Below are 12135 nucleotides of genomic sequence, written 5' to 3'. Positions count from 1 at the left end.
TTGGAAATTAGTATATAAATTTTCAAACCACAATCCTAACAAAATGCATTGGCAAATAAGATACTCTATTGCTCCTGGTAGCAACATGCATTACAAAAATAAGAGCAAGCTTCTTAAAAGCAGAGTTGCTGGCTAGTCAACTTTAAAATTTTAGACACTCTGTTAAGGTTAGTATAATTTATTTAACTATTTGATATCGAAAAATAATCACATATTGGAAGTAGGATATTCTTGGAGGCAGGTTTATGTAATGAGAAAAAACGCAAGGTAGAACCAGACTTACTTGGTTCCAGTTCCAGCCCTACTATCTAATATCTGTGTTACTTTGAGCAAGTCACCAGACCTTCCAGTTCCTTTGTTTCTTCATCCATAAAATGAAGATAATAAGAGTACTTACCTCATAGGGTTGCTATGAGTTACTTTATGTCAACTGCATACTACAGCATATAATAGATATTAGCAATTATTTTAAGCTCTTCTGACACTTGGAACCAAACTCTTGACATTTGTCTTTCAAAAATTGCTTTTGTGCAGGACCAACATCCAACAGGGGTCTTTGAATTCAGGTACACCTTGAGACTCAAGATCATAGGCTACATTTGGTACCAATTTACCAAAAAGGTTACTGGACAGACCATATATCTTTCCAAGCAGCATCAGGTTTTTCTCTCAGCAGGAGTCTCAGAAGAAGCAGTTGGCATGGCAGTTCACACTGCCCTGTGATTGGGAAGCTGCTTTCCCAGGTGACAGACCAGGTGCAAGAAAGTGAGATCCACACCAGTGGAAGTGAGGTTCACGTAGGCTTAGAATCCTCATGTAAGGCGTATGTCTGGTAACAGTCTTGAATCCAAACTATAGGGAGTTAGACTAGTGTCCTACGAGTAGAAAGCATTCTAGTGTTTTGACACAATCTCTGTGAGAAACTTCCAAAAGCAAGAGAAGGAATATGTACCATGTCTTTTTGAATATTCCTCTTAGCTATCACTAATTACAATAGGGTTTTGGCAAGGGTTTGCTAGCAGACATTCCAAATTGACATAGTTGTCAAGGATTTATAGGTATTTAGTGTTTTTGAGAAAAGATCCAGGTATTCTATACAAACTACTTACATGGACGAAATGTTAACATTTTATGAGGAAACAGAAAATGTATTTTATTGTTGCTAAACTCCACCTTTTTGTAGTAAATGGCTATTGATATGTTTTTAAGAGCAAGTCCTTTATCCGTAAACATTTGTAGAATTGGTCCAATTTGTACCGTTGTTAAACTGAAACCATATAATACCACAAAGCACAGAAGAGACACTATAATAAAAGTAAGATTTATACAGGATAATATTTAACAGGATTCTATTTAAATTGGCGTATTAGGGTTATTTGCAAAACACATTACATAATTAGCATAAGAGTTAATTGAACATAATCACTTATCCATCTAGATACAAAAAAATGAGGCAGAACTTATTGATTTATGTTTGGGCATAGACAATATTGAGCAGCTTATTGTGACATTAATAGACTATCAGGCTCAGTTATTTTTATTTTTATTATTTATTTATTTTTTTATATGGGGTTTCACTGTCACCCAGGCTGCGGTGCAGTGACGCCATCTTGGCTCACTGCAACCTTTGCCTCCTGGGCTCAAGTGATCCTCCCTCCTCAGCCTCCTGAGTAGCTGGGGCAACGGGCACATGCCACCATGCCCACGCTTGGCAATAATTAACAAAACCTCCTGGAATAATAGCTCTTTTTTCTCTTTTTTCCCTACAGTTGGACAGTGTCACATCCCTGATCCAAGCAGCCAAAAATTTAATGAATGCTGTAGTGCAAACAGTGAAAATGTCTTACATTGCCTCAACCAAGATCATCCGAATCCAGAGTCCTGCTGGGCCCCGGCACCCAGTTGTGATGTGGAGAATGAAGGCTCCTGCAAAAAAACCCTTGATTAAAAGAGAGAAGCCAGAGGAAACGTGTGCAGCTGTCAGACGAGGCTCAGCAAAGAAAAAAATCCATCCATTGCAAGTCATGAGTGAATTTAGAGGAAGACAAATCTACTGAAACCACTATTCTACATATAGTGCCTATATGACAAAATCCTGCCTAACCACACTGCTTTATTTTACACTTAAGAAGTTCTGTAATTTCACTAAGTTTTGGTGTTTAACTCACAAATAACATAAAATATTGGGCGCTAAATCAACAAAAGCAATATATATTTGGGATCATATCACTGTCATTTCTGTATGGTCAGCACCTAATAGTTAAGGAATATTTGCTTGTTGAATGAATGAAATTATCACGTGTCATTCAGCGTTTCCCATCATAGAGATTATCTACTATTCGTTACCAAATAAACACAGGAGAGGCCAGAGAGTCCTGTTTATCTGTAATACTTCATGTACACTTATCATCCTTATCTTGAATTAAAACACTAACATGAGCTCCTAACTTGGTTTTTTAATAGAAACAAAAGACTTTTATAAAATATTTTCCCATTTAATCTCCATGCTTTCTTTATCTGATCTAACCTGGCACCTAACCAGGCAGAAATGTATGATTCCTGCCATAGCAAAAAAACCACCTTTTAATCTCTAGATAGCTGTACTCATTGTCAACTTATTAGGCTAATATCCATTATAAACTAATCAAATTTGAATAGTTAGGCTACTTGCTGGATTTTGAAGGTCAACCTTGTTTATTAATAAAATGCTTTCTTAACATTATAAAGGTTACAATGAGTTCTGATGCCACATACTCACCTTTTGGGTTTCCAATGTGTTAGAGAGTTCTGTACTTTTGAGTGTTAGGCCTATCCGAATACATATGTGAAAGAAGAGTTATCACCCATTGGGAAAATGAGACAACAAACTATATCCCAAAGTGAGTTATATTAATAATAACAGAAGTGTAAGTTCTGTATGACCCTATTTTTACAAACATAAAAATACATTTTTATCAGCTTGCAATTGTAATTAAAAGGAAAATGGCAGTTTGAAAAATCTTTTGACGTTGAGTAAAATATAACTGCATGAACTGTACCATTGAACTATGAAGCAGTTAATGGCAATGAAGCTGGAGTGATTTTAATAACGTTCTTTTAAATAAAAGTCACTGGGGTCATTTTACAACTCCAGTCACTGTGTTCATTCCTAGTTGAGTTCATAATGGACTTCATAATAGTCTTAGAGTCTAGTGTACCTCTCTCTGTCATTCTCTCTCTCTTTTTCTCTCCCCTGATGACCTGCCTCTCTCTGTCTTTCAAAAATGTCCTTAACAGAAACTCTTTGGAGGCCATAAGTTTTGTTTTCATTTTTTCTCATTCATAGAGTTCTGATTCACAGACTTTAAAAAACATTTTCTATTCTACATTATCATAATAGTATTATATTGTACCTTTTTACTTCTAAAACATTGCCATTGATGAGAGGCGTCTCAGCAACGATGTAACCTTAGATTGATGAGAAAAAAATTTACACATACAATACCAGTTGATATTAGGAGAACCAGTTTGGGTAAAAGGATGCATGAAACATAGAAAAGCATAAAGATTGACAGTACGATATGTGTGGAATCTTAAGCATAATGGTATGGGAAAAGAAGGATCTATTTAATAGGTCATTATTAATTATGCAGGAAATGTTAAATTTCTTGTAATGAATTATTTCAATCTTCCAAGTAGCTGGATTGCCTGAGCTCAGTGTAAAACTTCCTAGGAGGTGAAGGCAATAAACTCCTCCCTGTTTTGCACCATAGACTGGCCTACAATAACTATTCTGAACAGAATGCACTGCCCAGAAGAAAAGGCAGTGAAGAAGGGAATTAGGGAATTCAGATGACTCTGTTTTTCAGAATTATCTAGATGATTGAGGCAAATAGAGATTTTCTTTTATTGAAATGCTGCCATCATTTTCTGCTCTAAGTGTAGATGTTGCACGAGTGACATCTGTGGTATATCCTTCTTCCAGATAGAAGTATAAATTTATAATTTAGTGGGGAGAGGAATTTTCTTTTAATCACCAAACTACCAGCTGTATAGAAAATTTTTTTGAAATCACCAAACTAGCAGTTGTGTATCTTAGCTCCTAAAGCCACATTCACAAGAATCATAAGCATCTCATTTAGAAAATCTAATGTCCACCGGACCCAACATCATCTTTCCACATGTTGGAGTTTAGAACATGCAGTATTGGACACCAAAAGAACAGAAATAACTTGAAATTATACAATTACCAAATAACCTCCATCTCTTTGATAAAAATGACTTTTTACCCAAAGTGAGATGTGAACAAGTTCTCCTCTTTAACCCAGGCAGATTTTCAGCTTAGCTCAAAGCAAACTATAATTAAATAAAACAATAAAAATTTTAACTCAATGAATATCCTAGGAGTTAATCTGCTGTGGTAATCGATAGTGACATAAAAACAAGATGCATAGAGCTGAAAAAGGCATCTGTCCACCTGAGTGAATTCCTGTAGTAGGCAGCATTTCAAGATTTAGTTTGATTCAAACCTGCTGATAAAACAAATGCTTATATGCAAGAAAAACTAGCAGCAAGATATGAATAAATCTCCCCATTATGTTAAAAACTAATCAGCATGACACATTTATATTTAGGTATTTCTTCTGCAGAGGATTGCCAGAAATTTCTTAATGAGAGTGATAATTTGGTGATCCACCTATGTACCTTTTGATGTCTCATCACAGAGATTAGTGCTTCCTCTGATAATACATTTGCTTGATCCTGCTAATAAGAACTCACCTTTCTTTTTAACGAAATCAATTTGTGTTAATTTACATAGGGAAAAACGTTCCTTGAGAGGGAGGAGAGGGGTGTTTACCACCCACAGGAGCAGTTCCATCCCTGGTTACCCACCAGTATCCCTGCCAGATGTTAGACTGGAATTAGAATGAAAATTTAAAAAAAAACGAAATAATAATCCACTAAATGGCCTTCTAATTAGAGAAATTTGAAGATTTCTATCAAATATAAAAAGTGAGAAATAGAAATCATTCCCTTTAATTTATGACAAATTAAAATTATTGAAGTAAAATGTTTCTAAGTCAGTTTCTGGATAGTTCTTGAATGAGTCAAGAAAAAACTCAAACACTAAATTTCTAAGCTAATTTGTTCATTATTCCTTTCTGTTTATTATTTATTATATGAGTGCAAATTGCAAATGTATTAGAAAAGACAATATAGCCTTCACATTCACAAGTGTGCCTTCTGGCCTTTGAAATCTTTTAACATAAGATCAATATAACATATTTGTTCCCCATAAAAATCTCTTATGTACAGGGAATAAGGTCCTCCATAGCTACACAGAGACACCCATTCTTGCAGTCTGGCATTCTTAACACCTTTAGCTTCAAAGGCAGTCGGTTTCAATTTCAAGCTAAAATTGTGAATATACAATTAAGTGCGCAACTTGGGCCTTCAGACCAAATAATTAATGCTCCTCAAATTAAATAATGAGTGGCTGAAAAGCCTAATGTGTAACAACAGAGTAAGTGACTTCAACGGCTTCCTGAACCTTCATTTTGAGGGTGTTCTCATCTCACCCACCTCTGGGCTAGGTATCCTCTGTTAATTGCTAACAATTTCCTACCAAAATAGTGCAATCAGGACTGCCCATCACAGCAAATTACTCCAATTAATGCCCTTTCCTCTTCTGTGAACCAAAAATATCTCTCTCCTGTCTCTCATCTCTATCCCAGGTATAAATTGACTAATAAATTTTACAGAGTTTTAGTCAAAATTATGAATTTTAATTTCCAGCAACATTATTCCTTTAGTCTTTCTATTCCCCAAAACATTCTTAAATTTTGGTATCAAATGTTCATTTCTGTCCTAGAGATTGTGGTTCCCATGGCTACAGATTTTTGTATAGTGGTAGTATGAGTGGAATAAGATCTGAGACTTTTCCTGGTGATATCCACCATTCTCTTGTGAACTCATTGCAGAATAAACAGCCTCTTTCACTTTCATTGTAAGTAGTTCTTTAGGTTGGCAAAGCAGGCACCAGAATCTGAATTTGAATGAAATCTGTACTTTCTTTTGTTGGCCTATTTTTTGCCAAGACAGCCTGCCTATTGTATATTTAGGAATCAAATATTCATTTTTTCTGTTTGTAAAGCCAGAAATATTTCAGTTAAAAAGAATATAATTTTATATTATTTTAATAATTCTTTTTAAGTAAAGTAGGAAAATTTCTGCCACCTGAGATGTTACTGTTTTTATTTATATGAAAATTCCATTTTTTTCTTTATGACTCTTTTCCCATACCATTATGATATGTTCAGCATTAGTATTTTCCATTTTACCACTAAACAAATAAGCCAGGACTAATAACAATAGCAGTTTGAGAGTTTTTATTTTGGCATTTTGGTTTTAATTAGGAAAGAAAACATGGATGCTATTAAAACTAGTTGTAGTTAAAAATGTTTTGAATGAGGCTACTAACGCTATCTTAGTCATCTCAAAGAGAAAGAGAAGAAGTAAAATTTTAAATACCTTTTTGGCATTTTTAACCAATTCATATGAACAAAAACATATATTCTATTAAAGCAAAATAAAGAATAGTTTAAAACACTAGTCTTCTTGCATGTGAATATTTTCCCCCTAACAGACAAGATAGAATCCATTTCTGGACACTCTAAAAGAAAGTAATGTTAATTGAGAGAGCTGTCTCCAAATGGAACTCAACCTGACCAGAATCCCATCCGCAGGCAAGAGATGGGCTGTGGGGCCGACCATAAGTTTTATTCTGAGACGAGATGCTTTATGGCTGCTGGCTGCATTATGGCATCTAGCAGTCCCCACTGGTTTGTGGGAACAAAACACATGGATTGATATTCAATATGAGTTTGGTAAGTTGGAGAAAAATGGAGACGATACGGAGTAGTCTAAAGGCACAACAAATAAGAAGGTGCCAGAGGTAGGGAAGGGTCTGAGAGGGGTAGTTGCAGAAGCATTTAGCTTTCATAGATGAGGGGAGAGTTTTTTGGTTTTATGAAGATTAGGCAGCCCTCCTGAGGAAAGTATTAAGGATAGAATGAGACACTTGTCTTGGTGGTTTGGTGAAGTCGTGTCGAAGGCAAAAGGATGAACTACACATATTTTGAGCATGATTTAGTAATATTGTTTGCAAGTTGAGAAACAGAAATTCAGCCATTCTCCTGACTGATGGTAGGTGAAATTCTTCCCAATATTAGAGCCAATCTGGGTTACCATACGTTCATATATTTAACAGCTATTTGTTAAACAACTGTGATGTTCCAGGCACTGTTCTAGGTTCTTAGGATACACCATATAACAAAACAAATAGTGATCCTTGCCCTCATGTGCCAGCTCTGTGTTAAATGCTAACTATTATCTTATTCAATCCTCCAAATAACCCTATAGGATATATATCATTCCACAGACAAGGAAGCTGAGGGTTAAATGGGATAAGAATCTTGCTCAAAGTCTCACTGGCTTTAAAATATTAATATATATTTTACATCATTCAAGACAGATATATAATTAGCTGAATATTCTCACCTCTATTAACTGAATGTAGAGTGTCAGGTACATGGGAAGTAAGTTATTTACGTGATCTGAAATAAGAGGACAACCTTTGCCAAATTACTTTTATTACCATGGAGAAGAAAGCTTCAATGAAATGCCTGTTTCAGCCCATCTTCAGTATTGGTTGGTTAATACCATTTGTTAACACCAATCCTTTCCTCTTTTACTGCTAACATGTGACTGTGTTTAAAATTATAGATTGCAGCAGAGTGTTGGCCAAGGATTATTGTAGTAGGATAAAGTTTCCCTGTATTTGAAATTTACCCAAACTGTAGCAAATACATCTTTCCTTCTTTATGGAGGTCACACGTGTGCATAGTATGTGCCTGAATACAGGTAAACTTTGTGTTTTAAAATTACATGGCCTTTTTTAGAGTCGACTGAAGGCTAGACTCTTCTTGCCCATGTTGCTGGATAGGCTTTCAAATCTCAGGCCTTGGAGAGTTAAATGACTTTCTGATATTTCTTACGGTGGAGCCACATAAGAAATACACACATTCCTAGTTTGAGCAATGGATGTGTATATTGGGGATCTTCACTTTTATGTATCTGGTAGTCATGATGGTGCCTATTCCCAACTGTAGGAAAGGAAAGCCCTCAAGGAGAAAATTCTCTTTCAAAAAGGCTCAGATTTCTAACAATTATGTCTAAATGTTTCTTCAATTTAGAACATGTACAAAAGCTACTTAATATTAGCAGAGTAGTTCTTGTGTTTTCATTTCAAATGAAATATTCCCAGTTCCAAAGTTTATTTCCTTGGCATTTTCAAGAAGGATGGTTATTTTTAGTTCTGGTTATTTGGTGTTGGAGGTCTGTGACACTTCCTTATACATTTAAAGCCCCCTTTGAATAGTTGTATCAATAGTTCAAAAGCCTGTAGATATCTTGCTTTTCTATTCTGACAGCCCAGCTTCTGCAGACTCAGGCCAACCTTAGGTATGTCACATCAGTTCCCCATCTGTGTAAATTACCTGAACCTCTCTGTGGTATTCACTGAGAGTTGAGCTTCTACTAAGGGATTTCCTTGACCTGGGCTTTTAACACCAGATTTGTAGTGGAGTGTTTATTAGTAAAGCAAAGGAGTAAGTCAGAGATGCTAGCCCCTGCTCTCAGTTAAACAGAACTATCCTCCTTCCTGAATATTTAAACATAAAATTAATTTTAAACTACTATAAAAATCATGTTCCATTGCTTGCCAAATCTTATACCATTATAATGCTGTATTTTTACATGTTAGTATACATTGTGTCCATAGGGATATAAATATGAGAATTTCAGCAACTGTCTTGCAGGGTTAAGATGTGCTATTTGTTGATTTTGCAAATTTTTCTCATGTGGTACAGTCCCTCCAAAGAAAATTTCCTTAGACCTAAATGGTAGCATAATAATTTCTCCTCCATATCCGTGACTAACAAGTTCCTGAAAACAGAAGTAGACATATTTTATGCCCAATTTAGTACCTAATAATTGAGGCTTAAAACAAAATTTTCTTGGGCAAGTTGGGTGATTAAATATGAATTAAAACTTCTAGAGAAAGATTTCCAGATGCCCCTGTTTTCCATTTTGATTATGGTTTTAGTTTCATAGCAACTTGGGGGAAAAAAATCATTTACTTTATGTCGTATTACAACAACAACTTTGACAGCTTAAATGTAGTGACCTCTCTGAAGGTAATATGCACATTATAATTTAGGATGAAAGCAGATTTAAACTAAGACTTTCTGAGATGAAATAAAAGTAACCAATTCATAATAGTCATGTTTATTGCAGCAATATCTTGGGAACTTAAGTTTAGTGGCGTTTGAGGTGTTTCTGACTATCTTGCTTGTTCATTTCACCCTGCTCTGCAGAGACAGAATATGATTGAATGAACTGCCCATTATATTAATGACCAGTTCAAAGCAGTTTTGTGCTTTGGCTATAGATAAAATTTGGCAAAAATACTGTAGGCCTTTCTGGTCCATATTTATCCTTAAAGTATTTTTGCCAATCAATAAAAATGAAATATTTATCCAGAAATAGAAAAAGCTCTTTCCTATGACATTGACATAGAAGCCCAAATACTCCTTGTTTGAGACCCTGCATGTCTTTTGTGTTTAACTGAATCAATGATTTTTTTTAGTTGTGCTCTTAATTGCATTATTTCACATATGTAACACTGGGTTTGTTTTGGTTATATAGTATTATTTTACTTTATTCTAATTTCAACTCATGTCACTCTGTAGCTCATTAAGAATTTGTTCAACTGAAAATTAAAATGTGTGTTAAAGCAATAAAAATGAAAAGATTGGCTATGCATTTTATGTTGATATTTGGTGGCGGATTTCTTGGGTGGGATGAAAAAAATGGAGATTAATAAATTGCTGAGTAGTCCAACCATGTGTTTCTAAGTGTCACCTTCACTCTCATCCTCTTTCAGTTTTATATTTATAATTCAGGAAGGCACTTTTCCAAACTACTGCATGCACACAAGTAATCTGAAGCATATCTGATAGAATTAAATTCATAGTCTAAATGAGCATTTTTGGTCTAATACAGGCACTAGTCTTGGGCATTAGACATGCCTTTAATAGTTCTGTGTAGCTCAAGAGTTGTTCTTTAGCTTAGGACTTTATGAAAATGATCAATAACTTTTCTGAGAATGTCCGAACACATACTCCCTAGTGGTCATGGAATACCATTGGTTCTACCAATGCTCTTGTATCTAAAAATTGGTGGGTTTTTAACATCCATCTTGGCCTCCTCATTTTTAGGCTGATAATAATCCTTTCTCAGTATGAATCCCATGGGGTTAGCCTCTCGATCCTCTTCCAGGGGTCACACAGGCTGTTGCTATCTACTCTAGAACATCAATCACATCATTTTCTCCCTTCAGGGCCCTTACTACTTCAGAACACCTACAGCGAAGTCTCAGTCTGCAAGTTCCCAAAATGCAGTCTCTAAGTATTGTCTTTGTCACTTGATTCTTCTGAAAGACCATGTTTCCCCTGATTCAGTTCTGCCAGACACCATCTGACTCTGCTAATGGAAATGCCAGTGTGGTGTTGCCTTTCTGCCTCATTCTGTCCTGGACCCCAGGAGCCCATAATTGCTCTGGCAGCAGTATTCTATCTGCCTTGATCAGTTTGTCATGCTTGCTCTGGGGGTGGAAGTGGAACTAAAAGCACTCTTGGCAAGAAGAGTCTGTTCCTGCCTAGAGGCTGAGCTGATGCCCTGACATTTCCTGGGCAGGACCATTAAACATTCCATCCAGGAGCAGTAACTCGGAGATGTAACTTCCAGTCACTGCATGTCCATCTTGTGGCCTCTGGAGGAAAAGCTGCTGTCCCTGATCAAGTAACCCTGACTTCCTACTTTGTCTGAATTTCCTAGTTTTAGAAAGGAGAAGTTCCCTTGGTGTATAGGCCAGAAAAGGGAGTTGTCAGGAAGACAAAGAGAGTGTCAAACCCAAGGGAGCTGACAGAGGAGTGGTTTAGGTACAGTGGATCACACACAGGCTTTTACAACATTGTCATTTGTCCCTGAGGCTCAGGGAGGTAGCCTGGAGACAGGGATCTGCTACTCTGAGCTTCACAAAGAGGTGAAATGCTCTCCTTCCTGCCACATTCTTGCCTTCTCACTGTCCCTTTAGTTGTTGATAGTGACAGAATGTTAGGTGTGCAGATCAAATCTGCATGTTTCCTTTCTAACATCAGAAAAGACAGTTTTCTAGCAGTGGGTGGAGTACTATTCAGATTAAACTGAAAGGACCAAAAGTGGGCTATCCTCCTGAATGCAGACCTGAACACTTCCCTTGGGAGTCTGCCATCTGCAGGCATTGATTTGGAGAAGGTAGGGGAAGAGAACTAACTATGCTTTTGTTCTGCTTTGGAGGAAGCCTGTGTGGTGATGCTGGGGATCCACAGCCGGATCCTGGAATAGCTCCTCCTTTCCAATAATTGCTCATAGTATCTCCCACCCACTAGGTTAATCAATTATGTCGCAGTCACTCTGAGGCTAGGTTTGGAAGACTCTAATGCTGTACCAGGTCCCAACGCCAGAGAAATGTTTGAGCCCCTTAACTCCATTATATTCTGAAACCCTGGGACAGTTATATCATTTATACTTTTGTATCTCCAACAACTGGCACAGTGAATGGCATGGCACATGGGAGGAACCCAACTGATAGTTTTGAAAGGAATGAACAAAACCATGAATTAGTTTATTTCAAATGAATGAATGCAGAACACTACTGCTCTGTAACCTGGGCCATCTGCTGAACTATGCAAACCAAAATTCTGAGAGCTTTGGTAATTTCCACGTTTACAGAAACAAAACCAATGTCGGGGAAATAATTTGAAAACTCCTGATTCCTCCTGCCACTCTTTCTAAACACTGCCACTGCCTTAGGTAAATGAAAGTTACTGATAAGGAAAAGCCACCGGGTGTTTCTTACTCATTTGTTTATTCAACAGCCAAAAATATTTCTTGAGGGACTGTTATATGTGAAAGGGTTATGGATAATAGAAAGAAGCGTGAATGTTTTGGAATCAAGATGTGGGCTCCTCAGGTTAATTAAAAGTAATTAGC

The 12135-nt window shown here is 36.5% G+C and overlaps 1 protein-coding gene across 8 annotated transcripts in view; it reads left to right on the top strand.

Moving 5' to 3' along the window:
- The window catches only part of CTNNA3 (catenin alpha 3), a 1851072-nt gene extending 1841208 nt beyond the window's left edge, over window positions 1-9864 (top strand). For all 8 annotated transcript variants that reach the window (XM_047425124.1, NM_013266.4, XM_017016152.2 and 5 more), the window contains one exon: window positions 1770-9864. In XM_047425124.1, the coding sequence (XP_047281080.1) occupies window positions 1770-2057 (288 nt within the window). In that variant the 3' untranslated portion in view covers window positions 2058-9864. The remainder of the gene's footprint in view (window positions 1-1769) is intronic.

This window comes from Homo sapiens, chromosome 10 (assembly GCF_000001405.40).
Source record: "Homo sapiens chromosome 10, GRCh38.p14 Primary Assembly".
NCBI classification, from domain to species: domain Eukaryota; kingdom Metazoa; phylum Chordata; class Mammalia; order Primates; family Hominidae; genus Homo; species Homo sapiens.
This window is presented reverse-complemented; position numbering and strand designations above follow the sequence as displayed.